Raw genomic sequence first — 24,841 nt, forward strand, 5'->3', positions numbered from 1 at the left:
AAGAGAAAAGATTTTCGGTTTGGTAAAACAAGGTAATTTTTGAGGCTTTTTTGTTTTGTTTTACCCTTATCATTAACACTCAGTCATCCAAGTGTTTCCTTCATGAAATATTTGCAATAACAGGGCTTACCAAGATGATGGGAATTCTGAAAGGTCTTCAATGAACAGAAATGTTTTTTCTCCCCATATCCACCAATAATAGAAGTAGTTTGCTGATAGTATCATAGCAATTATTTTTTACATTTATCACAAACATTTGGACTTAATTTTACTTTTGAGCATTGATATTTATGATGTCACTTAAAATTTAAATTTCATAGACAAGAGAAGAAAGAAAAATGGAAGCAATTTTGCAAGCTTTTGCCAGACTTGAAAAGAGAGAGAAAAGAAGAGAACAAGCTTTGGAAAGGATCAGCACAGCCAAAACTGAAGTTAAAACTGAATGTAAAGATACACAGATTGTCAGTGATGCTGAAGTTATTCAGGTATTATTTATTCAGGTCGTTTTATTTTCTTAAACACTTTAAAATAAAATGTCTATACTTGCATTAATTACTTATAAGGAATTTAAAATAATGTCTATTAGCTTTTTAATAGCATTTTTCAGATCCTATGGGAGTTTCAGCTTGAGATAAAAGACTATATATTATCTCTGTTCTTTATTATATATCAGAATTCAAAAATTCCAGAAAGTTGGCTTCTGAAGTAGAATAATGCTATTATATTTAAACTTTATATATATGTAGTATAAAAACTTCCATTCGCTTGTATTTTGAATTAGGAACAAGCAAAAGAAGAAAATGCTAGCAAGCCAACCCCTGCCAAAGTAAATAGAACTAAACAGAGAAAAAGTTTTTCTCGGAGTAGGACTCACATTGGACAGCAGCGTCGGAGACACAGAACTGTCAGCATGTGTTCAGATATCCAGCCATCTTCTCCTGATATAGAAGTTACTTCACAACAAAATGATATTGAAAATACTGTACTTACAATAGAACCAGAAACTGAAACTGCACTAGCAGAAATAATTACTGAAACTGAAGTTCCAGCACTTAATAAATGTCCTACCAAGTACCCCAAAACAAAGAAGGTATGATTCTAATGAATGTAAGAACTGTTTTTCTAACAGTTTCTTATATTAATTATATTGTTGTTTTAAAAATTGGATTTTTAAGACCTCATAATAATAAGAGGCAGTTTTTATACTTGCAGATTTTAAAACTAAGAATGAGAATTCCAAAACTGTAAAATTAATATAAATGTTTGCATTACTGTGAAGATAAAGTTACATTCAGTTTATCAGGACTTTTATGGTATTGCAATTCATGATTTCTTTAAATAAGTTTGTCTACTTTATGTACAAAATATATACTTCTCTGAAACTGGTTTTAGATGTGTTATCCTTTATATTTTTATAAATTTCATTGTATAGGTAGATTATAAGAATTAAATGTGAAGAAATTGATTTCCACAGAATGTACTATGAAAATTTGTAAGAAAGAGTAGTTTTAGGTGTAATTATTAATAAAAATCTCTGAAACACTACTGTCAGACTTAAGCAATTACGGTAAACAGCCTGAGCTTTTTCAGATCAGAAATAACAGAACATCCTAATGAAGCTGCTCTTTGTCTCCCACTCTGACTGGAGTACAGCAGATTGGGGCAGAGATACTAAAGTGTGGTAATCCTTATGCTGTTTAGGGGTAGATCATGAATGTATACTTCTCACACACTTTACTTTGAAATTTCATTTATTCTGTCTTTGTTCTTACCTAATTCAGTACAGTTTGTAGGCATGCTGCTAAACCATGACATGTACATTTAGTAAAATTCTAGTATGAACCCAGGATTATATTTTAATAGCACAAGTTAAATAATTTACTTGCCAAAGTCGCAGGTTTCATTAGAGACAATCTAAACACAGTTGTTTCTAATTAAAAGTCTGTACTCTCCTTACTGCACCGCCATAGCTTAAGCAACCCAATATTTGCCTGTAACAATGGACAAAAAAATTCTAACTTTGTAAAGTGAAAAGAAAAAACCTCAGGCTTAAAAGAAGTGAAACTACTTTCTCAATTACAAATATGACATAATCCCTACCTTTTATTAAACTTTTAACAAAGTTGTGGTACGATAAATTTATTTAAATCCCTGGTCTGAGATGTAGGCTTCTACATCCTATCTGATTCTCTTAAAAAGCCTCTTTTGCCTGCAGATTTTGTTATTTTAAACAACATACTGTTTGACAGAGTACCAAATTATCATGATTTCCCCTAAAGGCCTCATTCAGTTTAATAATACATGTCACTTTTTCTGTGCCAGATACTGTTCTAAGAGCTTTATGTATGTTATTGAACTTTTAATCTTCATAACAATCCTATTTATAGAACTAGGTTCTATCACAACCCTTCTTTTACAGATAAAGATTGAGATATAAAAAAGTTACTTAACTTGCTCATGGTCATAGTGTAAATGGCAAAGCCAGGATTCACCCTCCTGGCAGTCTGGCTCCAGACTCCATGTGTTTCACTACTGCAGTCCTAGGAATGGAGTTCTATATACAGAGAGGGACAGAAAAGATGCTAAAATGTTTACAGTGGTTACCTTTGGAAAAAAGGATGGGTAGATTTTTAAAATGTGTGTGTTTCTGTGTGTGTGTGTGTGTGTATATATATATACATATGCACATTTATATATACTAAGTTCTGTACATTTTCTTTTTCTTTTTTTTTTTTTTTTTTGAGATGGAGTTTCGCTCTGTTGCCCACGCTGGAGTGCAGTGGTGTGATCTCGGCTCACTGCAAGCTCCGCCTCCCGGGTTCAAGTGCTTCTCCTGCCTCAGCCTCCTGAGTAGCTGGACTACAAGCGCGCACTACCAAAACCAGCTAATTTTTTTGTATTTTAGTAGAAACAGGTTTCACCATGTTGGCCAGGATGGTCTCCATCTCCTGACCTTGTGATCCACCTGCCTCAGCCTCCCAAAGTGCTGTGATTACAGGCGTGAGCCACCACACCCGGCCATATTTTCTATAAGTTACATTTACGCTTGGAAATTAAAATATCATTTGCTAACTAGGTAACAATATGAATGGTTACTCGTTTTTTTTAAAGTAGTAATTTATACTTCAGGGTCAGGTATATTCATATAGCCAATAGAGACTGTATTATGTATGTTGTAGATCAGAGAATCAGCAGAATTAATGACTATGAAAAATTTCAAAGCACAAGAACCTTAAGAGATATTCCAAACCCCTTATATCAGGGATTGTCAATGGTGACTTTTAAATATATATGTATCGTGAGCCAGGTGTGGTGGCTTATGCCTGCAATCCCAACATTTGGGGAGGTTAAGGTGGGAGGATCACTTGAGCCCAGGAGTTCAAAACCAGCCTGGGCAGCATAACGAGACCCTGTCTCTACAGAAAATTAAAAACAAAAAAATTAGCTGGGCATGGTGGTGCACACCTGTAGTCCCAGCTAGTTGGGAGGCTAAGGTGGTAGGATGACTTGAGCCCAGGAGGTCGAGGCTACAGTGAGCCATGATCACGCCACTGCACTCCAGGCTGGGCAACTCACCCTTTCTCAAAAAAAGTACTGTGCACTGTCCTCATCTCCAGGAGATTCTGATGGGCAGCTATTGTAGGAAAACACTGCCTAAAATCAGATTTTTCTAACAGATGGAACATCTTATACCTATAATAGAAGCGGTAGTAAACCTAAATTTAGTGTGTTTAATAAAATGGTACTGACGTGTCTCTAGTTGTAACTATATTAAAAAGCTTGGCTGGGCACGGTGGCTCACACCTGTAAACTCAGCACTTTGCAAGGCTGAGGCGGGAGGACTGCTTGAGCCCAGGGGTTGAGACCAGCCTGGGCAATATAGCGGACCTTGTCTCTGCAAAATACTTTAAAAATTAGCCAGGCGTGGTGGTGAGCGCCTTGTCCCAGCTACTCGGGAGGCTGAAGTGGAGGGATCACACCTGAGCCCAGGGGGCGGAGGCTTCAGTAAGCCGAGACTGCACCACTGCACTCCAGCCTGATGACAGAGATATCTTGTCTCAAAAAAAAAAGTAATACAAATTTCATGTAATATAAATATTTAAAAAGCAACCATATGTTTTGTTCTACAAAATAATTGGGTAAAAAGTTTCAGAATAACAGTAGATAACTAAGAAATGTAAAAGGACATACTGATATTTTGATCACATATGAATGATTTAAATTACCCAATTTATCATTTTAGATAATACACCAATTTCAAATCTGGTATTAGAATATTCAAGGGAGAATTTGGAATTACATATATAATGATCCAATTTTTTTCTTTTCTCTAGCACTTGGTTAATGAATGGTTAAGTGAGAAGAATGAGAAGACAGGAAAACCTTCAGATGGCCTTTCAGAAAGGCCTCTACGCATAACTACAGATCCTGAAGTGTTAGCTACACAACTCAATTCTTTACCAGGTCTCACTTACAGCCCCCATGTATACTCCACTCCTAAGCATTATATTAGATTTACTTCACCATTCCTTTCAGAAAAAAGGAGAAGAAAAGAACCTACTGAAAACATTTCTGGTTCATGCAAGAAGGTAAACTTTTCTTTGGAAGTAAAAATGTAGAATGAGCCAAATGCCAACTCATTCCTTACTACCATCCATGGTAGTGAAATGCTTTTGGAATCGGCTCTGTATTTACAGGCTATATAAACAGCTACAAAGTGATTCCTGTTCATTCATGTATTCTGTTTTATTCAGCGATGGTTGAAACAAGCTCTGGAAGAAGAAAATTCAGCAATTTTACATAGATTTAATTCACCCTGTCAAGAAAGATCCAGAAGTCCTGCAGTCAATGGTGAAAATAAAAGTCCACTACTATTAAATGACAGCTGTTCCCTTCCAGGTAGAATTTTTTTTTCAGAGTTTTGGTTTGAGAAATGTGGCAGGGCATACATACAGCTTTATAACAGGCATATTTCTAGTTACTGGTATGCACTTTAGAAGAGAAGCACATTGGTGTATAGATTTTCTCTTTTCTGTCCTCTGTATTTTTTGGCTGAAGATACCAGTTCACAATACCACGTATGCTGGGGTTTATGAATATTTAAAGGCTTCTGGACTGGCTGCTTTTCAGACAGACAAGGACTCTTACAAATCAGTTAAAGTAACATCGGTACTTGTAAGATACTTTGAGACCCCTAGGCCTATAATCCCTCCAGGCAAGGTAATGCTTGCTAATTGGGGAGGGAAAGGGGGCACTGCTTCATGTTAGTACCATTTTTTTAAAACCGTGAAATTCAGTTTTGGGGTAAAAGTCATAACTGCCATTGTTTATATTTTATCTTTCCCAGAATGTGACACAAACAGATTTTAACAAATAGCAACAGTGTAATTTCTTACAGATTATTATTTCACCAACAGATTTAACTACACCACTAAAAAAACGAAGATTTTATCAGTTGCTAGATTCGGTTTACTCAGAAACCTCCACACCTACTCCTTCCCCGTATGCTACACCAACTCACACCGATATTACTCCTATGGACCCATCTTTTGCCACGCCTCCACGGATAAAATCAGATGATGAAACTTGTAGAAATGGTTATAAACCCATATATTCACCAGTTACCCCAGTAACTCCTGGTACACCAGGAAATACCATGCACTTTGAGGTGAGAAATTTTAATGGAGAAAAAAAAATTCAACACTTGGGGGGATGGAATTTCTTTTAAGAGCTCTTTCCCCTCCTTTAACAACTAGTGTGCTGAGAATACAAAAAAAAGGTTGTAAGAAACTAAAAATCAGAAAAATTCATTTATATGAATTTAGATGTTTTTATTTTTACTAAAATGAGCATAACTTTCATCTTGTTGATATACACAGTAGACTAAATGTGTGTATCTAATTGATCTTAAAGCAGTCTTATTTGGGGAATGGAAATAAACAGGAAACAAGATCTAAAACTAAAGTCTGTATATTTTTCATTTTGTTTTCATTTCTATAATTATTATGGATATACTTACGTATTTTTAAATTTTCAATTCTAATTCTTTCTTTATATACAGAATATTTCTTCCCCAGAAAGTTCTCCAGAAATAAAGAGACGCACTTATAGTCAAGAGGTAAGAAGTTAACTTAAAAAGGGTGAATTGGTAGTTTTTTTCCTATTACATTGTTTTCCTTAAATTACTGGTAAATTTTGAAATAAACAGTCCCAAGATGTGATTATTTGTGTAATTTTTTTTTTTAATTTGTAAACAGGGATATGACAGATCTTCAACCATGTTAACATTGGGGCCTTTTAGAAATTCTAATTTAACTGAACTGGGTCTGCAAGAAATAAAGACTATTGGTTATACGAGCCCTAGGAGTAGGACTGAAGTCAACAGGCAGTGTCCTGGAGAAAAGGAACCTGTGTCAGACCTTCAGCTAGGACTCGATGCAGTTGAGCCAACTGCCCTACATAAAACCCTGGAAACGCCTGCACATGACAGGGCTGAGCCCAACAGCCAACTGGACTCGACTCACTCTGGACGGGGCACAATGTATTCTTCCTGGGTAAAGAGCCCTGACAGAACAGGAGTTAACTTCTCAGTGAACTCCAACTTGAGGGACCTGACACCCTCGCATCAGTTGGAGGTTGGAGGAGGCTTCCGAATAAGTGAGTCAAAGTGCCTGATGCAGGATGATACTAGAGGCATGTTTATGGAAACAACTGTGTTTTGTACTTCCGAAGATGGGCTTGTATCTGGTTTCGGACGGACTGTTAATGACAATTTGATCGACGGGAATTGCACACCCCAGAATCCACCACAAAAGAAAAAGGTTACAAATTTAACAATTTATAGTCCTTTTAATAGTTTTTTTTTTTTTTTCATAATACTACTGAGGGGAATTGTTAGATGTATTATGTAAGGCATTCTTAATTTAGTTATTAAAGTTACATTTTTAATATTTTTAAACCTTTTGTAAATGCTGGCTTAATTAGAAAATGTTTACAGAAAAGTAAAAAAATTCTAGTAATATGGGAAATCCTTGTAAGCAGCATGGTTTCAGAAAAATCTCAAGATGATTTATTTCACCAAATGAGTATTTTTTAAAACTAGGAACTCCCCAACCAAAAACACAGACTTGAATAATATTTGTGTTATTACCTTTATTGTACATTGAGCAAGCACCCTTGTATAGAGGAAATGCCTCTTTCCTCATCTATAATATCTATAGTATTTAGGCCATGGATGTAAGAGTGTTTTTATTTTACTAATAGTTAATGTATTAAATATTAAGTTAGTTCCCTGATTTCCCATTATTTGGTTGGCAGACATACTGAGATAATTAGAATGCCTTATTTCAAAAGAAACTATAGCACTTATTTTGTTAGTAGGCTTATTGCTTTGCAAGTCCAAGAATTTTCGTGATGTGTGCTTTTAATTTTTATAACAGAGTCCAGTTGGCAACTTTGTGGGAAGCAATGTAGTATAGTGGAAAGAGCACGGGCTTTCAAGTAAGACCTAGGTTCGAATCCCGGCTCCAACACTCACCAGCTGTGTGACCTTGAGTGAGTGAGTTACTCAATTTCCTCATCTATAAAATGGGGATGATAATATACCTATTTCATAGGGTTGTTGTGAGGATAAATGAGATAATGTATGTAAATCATCTAAGTACAATGCCTGGAATATAGTAGGCATTTGGTAATTGTTAATTATTTGTTCAGAATCAATTAAAATAATTTTCCTAATGTAAATATAGTAATTCTCTTTAGACAAAAAAGAATGCATTGGTTCTGACATAAAAAACAAGAATAAAAGATTTGCTTTTTCTCATCTTTCTTGCTTAAGGTTTCTCTATTAGAATACCGTAAGAGACAACGTGAAGCTAGGAAAAGTGGCTCTAAGACAGAGAACTTTCCACTCATTAGTGTATCACCCCATGCAAGTGGAAGCTTGAGCAACAATGGTGATGGCTGTGCCAGCAGTAATGACAATGGGGAGCAGGTGGACCACACTGCTAGCCTACCTTTACCAACACCAGCTACAGTTTATAATGCCACTTCTGAAGAAACTAGCAATAACTGCCCTGTTAAGGATGCTACTGCTAGTGAGAAGAATGAACCAGAAGTTCAATGGTAAGCCCATTGTGAAGTATGCTACTCTGGAAAAAACAAGCTTTTGTTCAAGTATTCTTCCTATTTGTTGTTCTCCCAAGGCTAAGCTGATAGTGCTTCGTGGTCACAATTTTAAAAGATTCTCTCTGCTAATAGGATTTTAAGCCAGCTGTGTATGGCCTGTGTTCTTAAATGTCGATTGTATTTATTCCTTGGTAATTTATTCATACTTTACACACACATATCCTCTCCAAAGAATTTTTATCAGATTCAACAATTCTGCAGACTTCCTTTATAACCCCTACCAGTTACCTTGAAAGAACAACCAGGGTTAGTGCTTCTTCAGAAGGAATAGGAGCAGCTGCATATAGGATGGATCTTGGCAAATGGCAGGCAGCCACACTCACTTTGCTCCTTGGTCCCCTTTCCACCTGAAAGCATGCAATCCTGATAGCAGTTTGTTAGGGGCATGTTTTGGTACCTTTGGTAACCTGAAGTGACATTCTCAATGTCAATATATTATCTTCAACTCCTTGCCTTCTTTTCACCAATAAATTGCTGGAGACAAAGGAATTGAGTCCTTCAAATAAGGATAATAATCTCAGTTCTGGGAGCAGTCAGCAAAATAAGATTAACTTTTTTTTTTTTTTTTTTGAGCTGGAGTCTTGCTCTGTCGCCCAGTCTGGAGTGCAGTGGCGCAATCTCGGCTCACTGCAAGCTCCACTTCCCAAGTTCAAGCGATTCTCCTGCCTCAGCTTCCCGAGTAGCGCCCGCCACCATGCCTGGCTAATTTTTTTTTGTATTTTTAGTAGAGACGGGGTTTCACCATGCTGGCCAGGCTGGTCTCAGACTCCTGACCTTGTAATCTGCCCACCTTGGCCTCCCAAAGTGCTGGGATTACAGGCGTGAGCCACTGTGCCCTGCCAAGATTAACTATTTTCAAAGGTTAACACCAAAGTATTTTCCCAGTAGATCAAAAGCCTTGGTCTGACAGTACATGTTGACTATGAAGCAACAATGTAACTAGCAGTAGTTTCTTTCAATAGAGGATAATGTGATTTTTCTTTGAAAGGACTGCCTCAACTTCAGTGGAACAAGTCAGAGAAAGGAGTTATCAGAGAGCTTTACTTCTCAGTGATCACCGAAAAGATAAAGATAGTGGTAAGTGAGCTTGTTCCTTCACCAGAAAGTGGAATCAGTTAATCACTCTGCATCCTCGTTCTTTGCAGCTCTAATGTTCTCTTTGGGTCTGCTCTGCTTCATCTCTAGGGGGAGAATCACCATGTGTCTCATGTTCACCGAGTCATGTTCAGTCTTCACCTTCATCTCATTCAAATCACATACCCCAGTTGCAAGCTAAGGGCCCAGTCCCTTCTTTCAGTGAACTTATGGAAGGTCAGTAAGCAGATGACCGATAATGTTATTCTTAACAAATTTTAAAATCAGACAAGAGAGCCTTTATAAAAAGTTGGTTTGGATAGTAGAATGTATGTTGCTTTGTGGTGTTAAAACAGTGTTTATTGTGTAATTTTATACTTACTATAGGTTTCTTCTGCTTTATAGACCCTGATCCTGAAAATCCAGAACCCACAACTACGAATGAATGTCCATCCCCAGATACTTCTCAAAATACTTGTAAAAGTCCTCCAAAAATGAGCAAGGTAATAACATTGACCTTTCGATGGGTTCCAAAGGACTTTAGGTTGAGTGCAGAAAAGCTGATGGTTATAATATGCAGTGTTTTTCTGCTGTATCAAGTATCAACTTGTGACTTCTGGACACTTTTCCTGTCAGAAATACTCAATTGTGTTTACTACTGTTTGTTCTTCTTACTGAACATGTGATGGATAACTCTGACCAAACATTCAAGTTTTCTAAGCACACTTCAACAGCTTACATTTTCTTCAAATGTTCCACCTCTATTCTAGTGGTGTCCAGGAAATTCATAGCCTTGTCATGAAATTCTTAACCATCCAATTATCTAAAAACAAAAGGTCATTTTATCATTTAAAAGGAATGACATCTTCATCCTGGTTCATGAAGATGTAATAATCTAGTATGGCATGTAAATCATTGGAAACTAAAGACAAGGAATGTGAGATTTATCTTTTTTTGATGATTGACATTTAAACAGTCTTATACTTGGTTTATTTATATCTGAACAGTGTACAAGGAAAATGAAAAGGTATTAAAAATCAAAATGGTTTGAGGGAGCAAGTTCATTTACCCAAATCAATTTATCCTTAGGTTGGGTATAGAAATTTCAATTATAAAATTGAAACTTGCTATTGGAGTTCTTCAGAGTGAGGCTCAAAAACAGGTTTCATTGCTTAGGGGTAAAAAGGCAGAGTAAAGTGAAAGAAAATTATTTCCTCAACTTGTCTTCAATAAAAATTAACCCAGAGAATTCACTTTAAGCTCACGCTCATAACTTTTTGGAACAACTGAAAAATATTGGCCTTTTAACATCCCAAGCCTCCATAATTGACGTATCCAGGATGTTATTTCCTGCCCCCCATTAAAATTAATATTTAGGTAGTATTAAATACCAACAAGAATAAACCTCAAGGTACACAAAATGTTCCTTGAATGTATATAATTTGTTTTCTCTTCATAGCCTGGTTCACCTGGATCTGTAATTCCTGCTCAAGCACACGGGAAAATATTCACAAAACCAGATCCCCAATGGGACTCCACAGTTAGTGCATCCGAAGCTGAAAATGGTGTTCACCTAAAAACAGAGCTCCAACAAAAACAGCTATCAAATAACAACCAAGCACTTTCAAAGAATCATCCTCCTCAGACACACGTTCGTAATTCATCTGAGCAACTTTCACAAAAGCTGCCTTCTGTGCCAACAAAGTTGCACTGTCCTCCATCACCTCACCTAGAAAATCCTCCAAAGTCATCCACGCCTCACACACCTGTACAGCATGGTTATCTTTCACCAAAGCCTCCTTCACAGCAGTTAGGATCTCCCTACAGGCCTCATCATTCACAGTCACCTCAAGTTGGAACACCTCAGCGAGAGCCTCAAAGAAACTTTTATCCAGCAGCACAGAACCTTCCAGCCAATACTCAGCAGGCAACTTCTGGAACATTATTTACACAGACACCCTCAGGACAATCTTCAGCAACATACAGTCAGTTTAACCAACAAAGTCTGAACAGCACGGCACCACCCCCTCCACCTCCTCCACCTCCTTCTTCGTCTTACTATCAAAACCAGCAGCCCTCTGCAAACTTTCAGAATTATAATCAGCTCAAAGGTAGTCTTTCTCAACAAACTGTGTTTACATCAGGACCAAATCAAGCACTTCCTGGCACCACAAGCCAGCAAACAGTTCCAGGACACCACGTGACTCCAGGGCATTTTTTGCCCTCTCAGAACCCTACCATTCACCATCAAACTGCTGCTGCCGTAGTCCCCCCTCCTCCTCCACCACCACCTGCTCCAGGACCGCACCTTGTACAACAGCCGAATTCCCATCAGCAACACTCTGTAGCACATGTAGTAGGGCCTGTTCATGCGGTCACCCCTGGGTCGCATATTCATTCTCAAACTGCTGGACACCACTTACCCCCACCCCCACCCCCTCCTGGTCCTGCCCCTCATCACCATCCACCACCCCATCCATCCACAGGACTCCAAGGTCTACAAGCACAACACCAGCATGTTGTAAATTCAGCACCCCCACCACCCCCTCCGCCGCCACCTTCCAGTGTTTTGGCTTCTGGGCATCATACCACATCAGCTCAAGCCTTACACCACCCACCTCATCAAGGACCTCCACTTTTTCCTTCGAGTGCTCATCCAACTGTACCACCGTATCCCTCACAAGCTACACATCATACCACTTTGGGACCGGGACCCCAGCACCAGCCTTCTGGAACAGGGCCACATTGTCCATTACCTGTCACAGGTCCTCATCTCCAGCCCCAAGGACCAAACAGTATTCCAACACCTACTGCTTCAGGGTTCTGTCCTCATCCTGGCTCTGTGGCCCTGCCACATGGGGTTCAAGGACCTCAGCAGGCATCTCCAGTGCCTGGACAGATTCCAATTCACAGAGCACAGGTGCCACCAACATTTCAAAACAATTACCATGGGTCAGGGTGGCATTAAAATGGACTCCAAAAACATTTTTTTAAATGTTCTGTAAGATAAACTGTATATTTCATATGTACCTGTTAAGGTACTTTTTAAAGCTTGTACATGAACCTTTGTATAAAAAACACCAGTGCTCTTTCGTTGTATTTTTCTCATTTTTGCTTTTTAAAATTCCTTTAAAAAATGTGCTGTTAAGCCAGTATTAGGTATCTTTATTTTGTAAGTGAACATTCCAGCTGTTTTTTTCTGGCAGATCTGATGCTGATTTGATGCTGTATGATCTTTTTTTTTTTTTTAGTTAAATTCATTTAGTGAATGTTCTATTATTTTATACATACACATTAAGTACTCAGCTAAGTAATGGCACTATGAGGATTTTTTTTTTCTTTCCTGTCAGCAGCAGTTCTGTGAATGCATCTTAGGTATAAAAATGCAATACAGATTTTTATATTTTGGTGTGGACATGGCTCATTTTGTTTTACCAGTTATTTGCAAGCAAAATGTAATTTAATGTATAGATGATTTCTAATGTCTCCTGACAAACTGTAAATACTGCATTTCTTTTGCGTATATAATTGCTTACAGCTTTTCTCATTTGATATATAGCATTGTACATATGACAAGTCTTTTGCAAAACTGTGTGATCTTTGTGAAAGTAGTACAGTATATGACCTTTAATTTCTTTTTTATTTTAAATATACTGTCACACTGAAGCACTGGTTGGGCATTTTAATTCATGTTAATAAATCACAATTATGTCAGTTTTACCAGATTGTCCTGTACAACTTCTAAGATCGGGATCTGTGTGTTTCTACAGAAGTTCTAGTTTTCAAATATAGATTGTAAGGAGCCTTCAATTTTCTTTAGCGACTACTACCTCAGCAACAGGAGGCAGCAAGGGGCTGTTCCTGTGGTGGTTTCTGTTTGCATTTTTGCAGGAGCCATAGGAAACTACTGAAATGATTGTGCTGGGTAAATTAAGGATCTGGCATCATACAAAATGAAGCCAGACCACTAATGCATTACAGTAGTTCTTGAATACAAGGTACAACAACTGTTTGAAAATATGGGTAGTTTGCCCAAAACAGGAAAATTTGTCTTGGGTGTAAAAACTAAAGAAAAAAGGCATTATTCCTAGATCTCTCAGTGAAATGAAAATGGCCTCTTAAGTGAACGTTTTTATTGCTAAAATATAAAATGCTAGTTAGTTATTAATTATTAATCTTCAAAAAATTAAAAATTTCCCAGCCTTTGTCTTCTACCTCTGAGGATTCAGTAAGTACATCCAATAATAATGATACTGTTTTATCAATCAACATATTTTTCATCATCCAATTACCTGACATAATTTGGCACAGGATACAAATTCTGTGCATCAGAGAAAGTAAACACTAAAATGACTGCGTGACCTCATTCAGTCATGTTTTTACACTTTGAACCTCTATTTATTTCCTTTTGAAAATTAGCTAATGATGGTACATTAACGCAGCTCACTTAGGGCTCAATCCTAATCACAGCTTCAAATTTTAGAAGAACATATAGGCCAAGTTTGCCATCCTCAATTTGTCCAACAAAATTCTATTTATGGTATTTAGTAAAGAAACATTTGTCTGAGAAGAAATGGTTTTACATCATCTATCCTGATAGTTTCAAACAGAATAAAGGTAACTAGCATGTGAAATAAAAATATTCTTCTTAAAAGGTTTGTCCTTCTAAGCATTTTAAATTCTTCACTGGCTTGAAATGTGCCTACTACAGAAATATGCATACAGAAGCTTTTGTGTGAACTGCAGAATCTTATACATTTTGATTCCTTGATGAAGTATATACTCTAAAATACAGTCTTCTACCAAAATTTCATTCAAGTTATTTAAAAGGGGGAGAAAAAAGGAGAATTTAGGAAATAACCTGAACTATGGATAGAAACTGAAGAAGTTCTCTACTCCAATGGAAAGTTTCCTTACTTTATCGTGGTAACTAGTTATGTATGGTCCAGGTATGGGAAGAAGCAAGTTAGTAAATCGGTTTTCACCTAAGAAGTTTATGACTCGGAAGATCTTATATCCACCTTTTCTCTGCCTTTGGGCAGTTCTGTCTGCCAACTTCTAGATAGCCAGCTCCTGTATCTGCTATAAACACATATGTGATCCACTGCTTGTCATTTTCCATGAAGATTTCACATGGACTACAGAAAGGAAAAGATAGATAGGACATTCAATTGAAGTCAGAGAGCTAGTTATAATGTTTAGCATAACCAGTGGTTCTCATTTAGTTTTTGTGCATTCTTTATCAACAAGCCGCCAAGAATCTGATAAAGCCATATTATGCCTAATACAAATGTATATTCCTTCTAGAACAACCGTTTCTGTATTATAAACTAGTTAGGCTGTTTTATCATAAGGGACACACCTGTAAAAATTCATAATCTAGTTTATTTTCCAACATAAGCAAAAACTGCATTAGACAAATTTCATTCAAGTATACTATCACCCTGATAAAAATCCTTTTACACTTAGGGAAGATATAAATTATGCCCTATGGTTCTTGTAAGGATGTTTCTCATAGAAATCACGGATAGCATCACCAGTCTACAGCCACTATCTATCACAGAATTTACATGGAAACCTACAGCCTCATTAGAAAAACTTAGCATGCAAATTTCATAAAGAAATTAATGAATGATCCATTCTACCTCACAGTGGTAATGTGATATAATGGTAATTCCTAAGAGGATTATGTGTCTTGTTTCCTAACAGCAAATGCTGTTTTGTTTTAAATTTGCAATGATCAAACAAATGCAGTTAGTATGTTTTTGATGAACCATGGATGAAAAGGGATCATTGATATTCTAGAGAATCAATCTATACTGTAGCTTTTCTCCTAAATCCCTTCTGCCCTTAAAAAACAATAAATGATTTCCTTATAATACGCCTCAATGCATGTTCTACAACTACATCTGCTGCAACAGGAATGCTGGTATTTAGTTTTAGTGACACTACTCTGATAGCAAATGTTCATTGATTCTATCATTTATAGGGCAATGACCAAGGCAATGTCTGGAAAAAAAAAAACCAAAACACTTTAATTTTTAAGACAACTGCAAGCACCTCAAACAATGGATTATTGTTACAACACTTGTTAGCTTTTCACAATCTAGTTATTGCAAAGGCATATGGATAAATGTTAATGGACAAAGTCAAAAACGAGGCACCTTAATGAATGTAAAATTTAAAATAAAAAGACATTCAATCCACTGACTTCTAAAAGAGGCTAAATATACCTCTATATATTACATTCTAAAATTGTATTGCCTACTATGGTTTGTATCCTGGAGTCTACAATTAATTTTAAGGAAATGCATAAACAAAACTGTGTGCAACCTGCAAAGGGAAAATCATTTTCTCAACTTCGTTTCATGGAAAGACAATGAAAAAGCTAGTAAAATTTGTTGTAGCCACACGTAAAGCTACCTATGGAATGAATGTGATCACTGTTATCTTTGAGCTGTGAGAAGTATTCTGCCCACTGCACTGCAAATTGTATATACCATACCTTGTGTTCTAGACAAGCATGATCATGCTTTTCCAAAAATATATGTATTTTTTCATTCCACACAATTAACACGTTTCTCCAATTTAATCTATGTAGAGCTTAACTTACAGCGCCCAGAGGAGGCAACATGACATGGTACTGAGCCATCACATTTTTAAAGGGAAATTGCTCTTCTTTAAAAGTACTTTTAAAAATATGCAAAATCACAAATGGGACTGCTAAATTATAATGCATATTTTAGAATGAGAAACATATCTTTTCTTCCTTTAAAGTGCCATATAGAGAATGACATCTTATAACCCAGAGCCACTTTGTTTAAAATCCAATGTGAAAAGACTGTTATGGAATGAAAAGTTTGCACAACTCCTTGGAGCAGTTAAAGTCCGCTACATGCAACATAGGCTACAAAGCACTCAAGACTTGGTAGCTTTTCTGAAATTTGAGTCCCCCTCCCATATTTAATGGAAAGTAACATTTACAGGGTGCATTTACATACACTATAATACAGGAATGATGTCCCTTTGCCAGAAGATAAAATTGTACATTTCCTTGCTATTTCTTGGTTCCAACTTGATAATTTCTTAAGATTGTAAATTATATAGTACTCAGCTAAAATATTTCTTCATAAATAGTTACAAAACCTGCCAAAACACAAAGGGGAAAGTATTTTTCATTCAAAAAAATGACATTTGAATGTCACACAACACAAGAAACAATGCTTAGAGACATGTTATTGTTTCCAGAAGAAAATGGTCAGTAAACTACTTAGCTGAAGACAAAAGACTACCCTTCCCCAGGATCACAGTGCACAAAAAGCAAAATGTCAAACAACAGTACCTCAAAGCAAAATAAAGGTCTGAGGATGAAGCCAGCTCACTTGTAATCCTGTTAAAGAATGAGAGTCACCGTTTAGGTCCAATGTACTGGGAACATTTGCTAGCTCAGAATGCAATATTGGTAGAATTTGCTAAGAATTCAACCAAGGATGCCGAAGGCATTCGCCAGCTGAGGCTCGTTTTTCTGGAACCATTTCTAACATCGGGATCAGGAAATCTGTAAACTGTGCAGCATCTTCATGGGGCCAGCCATACTTTTCCACAAGTACATCAAAGAGGCTCCAGGGCTTCAGCTTGGTGATGTGTCGCAGTTCTCCTACAGGGGAAAAAACAGGCCAATGTCAAGAAAGCTCCAAATCTGCATTCCCCATTGTTGGTCCAGTCAGGTTCTTTTCAGTGAAGCGGACAACCACCTGCTCAACACTTGTACAGCAACAACAAAGAACACCAGCTTTTCCCCACTAAGCAATAATCATTACATGTACATATGACCAAGGCATATTTCAAGTAAGCCTGGTGGATCTAAATAGAGGTTAATTAATAGTTCATTCACATTAGTTCTAAGCTTCTTTAAGTAAGTGGAGTGGGCTCAGTTTGCCCAGAGTGTTTTCTTTTCCAAAGGTTGAAGCAAGCCACTCTCATTTCAACCTGGGATCTTCCGTAAAATTTGCAAACTTGAGGCCAACCCAAATCAAACACCATTCATGTCTACGCATTTGTTGTAAGATCTAAGATCCTAGGACATTAATTTGTAAACCTTGAAGTTATACTTCACAAACTGTGCTAGCTGCAGTATGAAAAGTGTCGGTTACAGGCAGCTTTGGTTGACATAACAGAATGACTAACAAGCTAGTAAATGGCCTACGAGCTGTAATGGTCATTTCATAAGAGAAAAAAAAGGTTATTTTTAAGTCAAAACTGCAATAAAGGGCTGAGGGCAGTGGCTCACTCCTGCAATCCTAGCCGTTTGGGAGGCTGAGGCAGGAGGATCCCTTGAGCCCATGAGTTTCAGACCAGCCTGGGTAACATAGACCAGACCCTGTCTCTACTTAAAAAGAAAAAAAGTAGCTGGGCACGGTGGTACATCCCAGCTACTCAGGAGGCTGAGGCAGGAGCATTGCTTGAGTCCAGGAGGTCAAGGCTGCAGTGAGTCAAGGTCATGCCACTGCACTCCATCCTGGGACAGAGCAAGCGAAACCCTGTCTCCCCATAACCTTTTCAAAAAGGCAATAAACTGTCAAAAGCTCCAGATAATTTCACTGTGAATAACTCGTTTTCTCTGCCTGTTTGAAGTTTTCATAGGACATCCCACCCCTGCCCACAGACCTCCTTAGGTGCCCCTCAGTGCATCCTGAGCAGCTTCTGCAGAGGAAACACCCCCCTGTGCCCACACCTCAGAGCAGCCAGGTCTCGGTGGGGGGAGAGAGGCATTCAAGCACCTGCAGGGCACACTTCATGCAAGGACTGACTTCTCTCCCCTTTCAACTGCTTTAATTTAAACAAGGTACATTTTTTTCATGAGATGCATCAATAGATAATCAGTGCTCTGCTCACAAAGGTGTTCTCAGGAGGCTTGTTCTGTTTCACCCATTTATTCGAGTCAACTTGGAAAAGCCCTCCCGTTTAAAAACACAATGAAAAGGAAAGAGCATTACAGAAAAGTATAAGAACAAAAGGGGAAGTAGCCTACAATCCTACCCACAACTGCTCTTCTTTTGTGTCTATTGTGAAGAGTGTTCTTACACACTAGTATGTCTACAAAGTTGCAATCATGCTGTGCACAGGGTTCCGTATAAAGAATCTTTTAAGAGGGCTGCTTGCTAAAGGGGCTGAGATGTAAAATAAGCTTCTGTTTCCAATATGAGGACTGGAGCTAGAGTAAAGCATCGCATCCAGACTAGACATCAGGTCTGTGTTGATGAAGAAATGAACCTGTAATATTAGAGGCGGGAAAGGATCTCCTGTTGAAGGAAACACAGTCTCCATAAAAACAAAGTCTGAACAGAGACTGCAGGTTTATCCCTCTAAGCCTGAAATTCCGGCTCTAGGAATCCAGCCCAAGGAGATAAACCCTGGTTGCACCACCCCAAATTCATGCCTAATATATGCTGGCACAAAATTATATGTACTCGCAAAATTACGAAGAGCCAGTAATAGTAAAATGGTGGTTAAAAGAAAACCAAGGTAGATTCACTTAATAGTATTTAATATTACTTAACAACATGGGAGAAGATCATGGTACAACATTAGGCAGTAAAAGAACAGTCAAACTATGTCCTACAGATAATCACAAGATTATTAAAATGCTCATTAAGATGGAAATCAACTGAATCAAAACATCAGCTTTTGTTAGTAGGTTATTTCAATTTCCACATTTTCTGTAATATGACTATATTGATTTAGACTGTTGATCTCACCACAGCAACAGTTAAAGCAAACTAAGAAAGCTCACATGTGACTAAACCAAGTTCTCTGGGAAAGGGAGCGAACTTTTATGACATGAATCTATTCTATCTCAGAAAAAATACTCTCCAGGTTTGCAAATATAGGTAACTACAGAGAAGCACTGTGTGCTGAGAATAGTAAAGGAACCTATTTCTGAGGCGCCAGGTGTTAAACTAAGATCCATCAACAAGGCATCTTTTAAGTACAATCTTCCATGAAAAGAGAAGTTTTACCACTATAAATGCTTAACAGCTGCATAGTAACAGTGAGCAAAACAATATAATAGTGAAAGGCCATGAGAAACTATTCATCCATAACTAGGCATACTATAAACTGGTAAAAATATTCGCAAGGAGCAGTAAAATATCTAACTACTTTTAACAAGGTAAAGACTGTGCAAAGAAGCAGTCTATAAACAACAGTATATGCAGGAGAGTCCTAAACACCTATGGTCCTGAGCACAGAGCAGCACTGCAATATAACAAAACACTGAACCGCCTCTAAAAAAAAAAAAAATGTGTGGACTTTTTTTGTGGAAAAAGTTTATAATATAATGCAAAGGAAAATCAACTCACCCAGATGCTATAATGATTATGTGTGCAAACCCTTAAGCTCAGTATAAGAAGTAACCTTGCCCTGGAAATAGTTGATAAGGTTACTTAAACACAAAGCCCAAGCCCCCAACTCTGTATCTATTGCTAGGAGACACAACAAGAGTGGGCTCACTGAATGAGTGAGGGTCTCGAGTCCATGAGCCAGCTCCAGCCCTGCAGATGATGCCCAAGAAATGTAGCCACCTCCATCACTTAGAATGATAATTAAGAATAAGAGGGGAAAGCATATTTTAAAAACACATTTTCACCATTTGCTCTTACTATAAAAGTAGCACCCTAACAAGTTAAAGAAATGTCATCGGCCGGGCACGGTGGCTCATGACTGTAATTCCAGCACTCTGGGAGGCCAAGGCAGGAAGATCACCTGAGGTCAGGAGTTCGAGACCAACCTGGCCAACATGGTGAAACCCGATCTCTAATAAATACAAAATTGGCCAGGCGTGGTGGTGCACACCTGTAATCCCAGCTACTTGGGAGGCTGAGGCACAAAAATCGTTTGAACCCAGGAGGCAGAGGTTGCAATGAGCCAAGATAGCATCACTACACTCCAGCCTAGGCAACAGAGTGAGACTCTGTCTCAAAAAAAGGAAAAAAGAAAATATATGAAGACGTAAAAAAAAAAAGAGAGAAAAGAAAATATATGAAGATGTGTTTCACTGAAACAAGTTTTGCAAATAACTAGACAACTGTGACAATTTTAGTTTCTTAAAGTTCCATTTCTAGCCTGTCCTCCTTAAAGAATGTGGAATATCACTTCACCCTTCCTGTGACTATCAGCTGTCAATCTCAGTATCAACTCACACACACACAAGCAAACATGAGCCTGGCAGCCAATTGTGTGGTCCCCAAGAGCCCCTTAGGCTTCTGAATTTGCTCTGAGAAACAGCTTGAAAGAGCCAAGGAAAACCAACAGGAAGCAGGCTCTGAGGAAGGGTTCCTCCTGCAGAGTAAAGGCTTTGTGACAGCAACTGTACTGGCCAGTCCTGGACTTGCAGAGTCCTTCTAAGGAAACAGGGAAGTTCTATTATACTTCTCTTGAATCTTAAAGTGGTTTGTGAAGGAAAATACATTATTTTATCCATGAAATTGTCATATTCCAGAATTAAATAAAGAAGCCCATGAGGTTCCACACTACATGTGGGAGGACTCTAAAGGCAAATCCTGGACTATATTTACATGAACACTGGTAATTACAAAGCAAACCATGATATAAAACTGATGAGCATCAATTGTGTACACGTAGAAAGTAAACCTACCAAGAAATACCAATACAAAGCAAGAGACAATGAAGAGATCTGAATGAATTCTTACACAAGTAGACAACCAAATGTAGGTAAATATTGGAGTTTAAAATGTGTATAAACCCTACCTCACATCCCATACAAAAATCAACTCAAAATAGGTCATATGCCTCAGAGCTAAAACTAAACAATTCCTAGAAAAGTAAATCTTCATGACCTTGAAGTAGGCAATGATTTATTAGATGTGACATCAAAAGCACAAATTGTAAAATGTATATAAATTGGACTTCATCAAAATTTAAAAATTTATACTTAAACTTTCACATGTGTATTCAAGAGAAACGGAAACATCTGCCCACACAAACTTGTACATTAATGATCATAGTAGCATCATTCATAATAGCCAAAAAGTGGGGGAAAACCAAACGCCCATCATCTGATGGAGGGATAAACAAGAGGAGTGGCAGTGACAACGCCCAGCCTGTGTAGCTGTCAAATGCCCACGAAAGAGCTTTCTTTGCTCTTTACAGCATCAAAAGAATCTGTTGCTTTTTAGGTATTCAGGAGATAATTTTAAAACACTGTGACAAGTTCAGCTCAGACACTAAATATTAAAAATACAGAATACAGTATCTCTTTTTAAAACTCAGCTCCTGGGTTTTAGCCCTCAGTTCTCACATTTCTCTTGATGTTGTCCCTGACTCAGGGAAACGTGGATTTTATGCTGCTGCACAGAAGCTTCTTGCTTTTGAAATTTTCAATTGTATTTAAGGTCTGTAGTCTGACACACACACATACACACACGCGCGCGCACACATGCACACAATCACTCTCTTTTATCCCAACACACTCGATGCTGTCATCTAGAGACCAGTTTTTTTTTTTTAAGTAAACTGTCTCATTTGATAATCCCATTATCCACGCAGCAATTTTTACTAAAATATGCCTGCTGAATGGTCAGAAAAATTCCTGGTGACCAGCCCAGTGAGGTCTGCTCCTGGCTGCACCGTTTTTCCTACCATGATCTGAGGGCTGGAAAGCTTCTGGGGACCACCCACTTCTTGAAGACAGGACAGGGAAAAAATTCATGGACGTGCTGATTTCTATTGGACCACCTATCAACACAGTAGTTTCTTAATGCTTTTTGGTGGCTCATGTCCAGCAAATTAACCTTAAGAGGGTGAGAGCTGTAATTACATTCCCTGACCAAAAATACAGCTCAATTTTTAACTTTCTGGCCAAGGAATGATTCAAACTAGTAATGATCATGACTTCTTAAATTATACGCAAGGAGAGGAGACAAATGAGCTGCATTTGATGTTCAACCTTAACACACAGACCCCACTCTTCTCTGGCTGCGTGGCAAGGATGAAAATCTGCCTCTGACCCAGAGGAGAAAGAGCGGGAAAACCTCCTGGGAAGGCACTCTCCATCAGTAACTGCTTTCAAAAGTGATACGGCATATCAACAGCTGTTTTAAATTTTGTTATCAGTTCTAGCACAAAGTATTTTAGCTATTTTAGGAAAAAAAATTTAAATGGATATTTTTAAGATTCCATTATTTCCAAAATTATGGAAATTATGGAATTTCCCCTATATTACTTATGGGAACATGCCAAAACACATGTTTCACGCAGCAAGCCATTCCCCTCATCCTAAGAGACAACGGTGAAATCTATTTCCATGACCGGCCCTCATTCCTCATAATGTTATCCTGTGACTTCTGTAAAAACCCTAAATCCCTTCTGATCTCTACTGCCATTAGAAATAATAATCAGGAAAGAACTGAAGTCCCAATTCCCAGTCATTTCAGGGGATTTCTCACCTAGTCACAAACGGTCTCTTATATCCAAAAACAGGAAAAAAGAACTCGAGGTACCACAGGAACACCAAGTGAAAATATTTTTGGTCTCTCATTAGGAAGGATGCCAAATGCATTTTAACTCTGCAGGTTACCTTCAAATAAGCTGCTCAAAAAGAACTCGATCACGTAAGTCCTAAGTATACGTGGTGATGATGGCAGTAACCTGGAGATACACATCCACAAGCTGTCTCAGGGAGCAAGGTTGCTGACAGGCCCACGTGGAAGCTGCCTTCCAGCCATTTATGGCCACACGCAGGCCGCTCTCACTGAAAGGAACCATCACAGGAGTGACAGCCCAAGAGCAGATGCCTGCAACCAGCTCCATGCCTGCAGGCCGCTGACAGGCCCTGCCTTCCAACAACTCAGTGACTTCACTTGATCATTCAAGGCCTCTCTTTCTGTCCCTCTTTCCTTCCTTCCCGCTGTGCACAGTATGGAGTCCTCGATCCCCTCAACAGACAGACGATTAACAAAGACAAATAAATGCACAGCCAGGCGCAGTGGCTCACACCTGTAATCCCAGCAATTGGGAGGCCGAGGTGGGTGGATCACCTTAGGTCAGGAGTTCGAGACCAGCCTGGCCAACATGGTGAAAACCTCTCTCTACTAAAAATACAAAAATTAGCCGGGCGTGGTGGCAGGTGCCTGTAATCCCGGCTTCTTGTGAAGTTGAGGCAGGAGAATCACTTGAAGCCTGGAGGCGGAAGTTGCAGTGAGCCAAGATTGCGCCACTGCACTCCAGCCTGGACAACAAGAGCAAAACTCCATCTAAAAAAAAAAAAAAAAAAATCAATGTGGTTCTCCAAATTTAGCTAAGTAAGGTAGACAGAGCATCTGGGACTTTCAGAAATTTCTAAAAGTCCATGTCCTACTCACATCAACTTTAAAAGTTCTTTATTAAGGGCTGTCACATCCAAAAAAAAAATCTAACCTGAAAAATATGAAGGACCAACTACACTCATCACAAAAAAGTACAGCAGGCTGGGCGCAGTGGCTCATGCCTGTAATCCCAGCACTTTGGAAGGCTAAGGCGGGTGGATCACTTGAGGTCAGGAGTTTGAGACCAGCCTGGCCAACACAGTGAAACCCTGTCTCTACTAAAAATACAAAAATTAGCTGGGCGTGGTGGTGTGCCTGTAATCCCAGCTACATGGGAGGCTGCGGCAGGAGAATTGCTTGAACCTGGGAGGCACAGGTTGCAGTGAGCTAAGATTGCGCCACTCCACTCCAGCCTGGGCAACAGAGCAAGACTCCATCTCAAAAAAAAAAAAAAAAAAAAGAATATAGCACTTAGAAGGAGTTCTTTTAAAAATACTCCTAGGGCTCTTGGGTGTTTTTATAAATTACTAACTGGGGACTATACTGGGCAAATAAACAGTTGGAAGATCAGTAAGAACTACAACATGAAAATAATCACCTTAATACAGTGTGGCATAACACAATGGGAATGTAGGATGTCATTTTTAAGAATGTGAGGTACGCAGCATTTCACAGGCCTACACCCACTACAGAAATAACCCAGGCAGACCAAAAGCAATGTCCCTGGACGTTCCCTAAGTCCAGTCTCTAGGCCACCTCTGTTCTACTACAGAGAGTCCATGAAATGGAAAGATAAGTCTAGCTGGCTTTTAACAATCACCTAAACTCCTTTTTATAAATAATATACAGATTGGTAACTTGGAGTAAAAGAGAGAAGCGGAGGAGGAAAAAATGCTGTTAGGAAGGCTGTTCTCTTACAAAATTCTTACTCCAGGTATCAGATGGGTCAGGTTTATTTCTTGAGAGCTTTCTTCGGAAGAATTCCCCAGTTGTGAAACTCCAGATCTTTCTCCACTGCCCAATCACGAATGCACAATTTCTCCTTTTGGGAGAAGACTATGCTGAAAATTAGTGTTGCATAAATACCGTTACCTTTTCTGGTGAAAAACTCCTTGGAGTATTTCCCCAACATAGCGTATTTTCGAGGGACTTTCCCCAGCAGTTCAATGATCAATGCTATGTGATCTGCATTGGGAAACATTGCCAGCAAAACAGAAACACACGACAGTTTAATCAGTACACTGCATGCAGACACT

The 24,841-nt window shown here is 38.4% G+C and overlaps 2 protein-coding genes across 41 annotated transcripts in view, besides 1 other annotated feature; one reads left to right on the forward strand and one right to left on the reverse strand.

The window, feature by feature from the left end:
- The window catches only part of KMT2E (lysine methyltransferase 2E (inactive)), a 100,815-nt gene extending 86,900 nt beyond the window's left edge, over positions 1 to 13,915 (forward strand). For 5 of the 7 annotated variants that reach the window (XM_011516400.3, NM_182931.3, XM_005250493.2 and 2 more), the window contains 12 exons: positions 321 to 485; positions 782 to 1,090; positions 4,335 to 4,589; positions 4,755 to 4,899; positions 5,418 to 5,668; positions 6,062 to 6,118; positions 6,258 to 6,821; positions 7,838 to 8,124; positions 9,176 to 9,264; positions 9,373 to 9,498; positions 9,667 to 9,764; positions 10,721 to 13,915. In XM_011516400.3, the coding sequence (XP_011514702.1) occupies positions 321 to 485; positions 782 to 1,090; positions 4,335 to 4,589; positions 4,755 to 4,899; positions 5,418 to 5,668; positions 6,062 to 6,118; positions 6,258 to 6,821; positions 7,838 to 8,124; positions 9,176 to 9,264; positions 9,373 to 9,498; positions 9,667 to 9,764; positions 10,721 to 12,229 (3,855 nt within the window). In that variant the 3' untranslated portion in view covers positions 12,230 to 13,915. Of the gene's footprint in view, positions 1 to 320; positions 486 to 781; positions 1,091 to 4,334; positions 4,590 to 4,754; positions 4,900 to 5,417; positions 5,669 to 6,061; positions 6,119 to 6,257; positions 6,822 to 7,439; positions 7,555 to 7,837; positions 8,125 to 9,175; positions 9,265 to 9,372; positions 9,499 to 9,666; positions 9,765 to 10,720 lie in introns of those variants that run through there. The other 2 variants (NM_001410908.1, XM_047420613.1) reach the window with 2 other exon arrangements.
- The window catches only part of SRPK2 (SRSF protein kinase 2), a 284,618-nt gene continuing 273,412 nt past the window's right edge, over positions 13,636 to 24,841 (reverse strand). For 15 of the 34 annotated variants that reach the window (XM_011516536.4, XM_011516538.3, XM_024446895.2 and 12 more), the window contains 2 exons: positions 24,678 to 24,770; positions 15,270 to 16,918 (listed from right to left, as the gene is read on the reverse strand). In XM_011516536.4, coding sequence (XP_011514838.1) covers positions 16,734 to 16,918; positions 24,678 to 24,770 — 278 coding nt within the window. In that variant the 3' untranslated portion in view covers positions 15,270 to 16,733. Of the gene's footprint in view, positions 14,400 to 14,626; positions 16,919 to 24,677; positions 24,771 to 24,841 lie in introns of those variants that run through there. The other 19 variants (NM_001350740.2, NM_001350746.2, NM_001350742.2 and 16 more) reach the window with 7 other exon arrangements.
- Positions 17,997 to 18,046: a silencer, noted in NCBI's record as "silent region_18514". NCBI's record gives its function as "represses an Ori minimal core promoter by ATAC-STARR-seq in GM12878 lymphoblastoid cells {active_cell/tissue: GM12878}" and the evidence as "EXISTENCE:reporter gene assay evidence [ECO:0000049][PMID:35858748]".

This window comes from Homo sapiens, chromosome 7 (assembly GCF_000001405.40).
Source record: "Homo sapiens chromosome 7, GRCh38.p14 Primary Assembly".
Classification (NCBI taxonomy): Eukaryota; Metazoa; Chordata; class Mammalia; order Primates; family Hominidae; genus Homo; species Homo sapiens.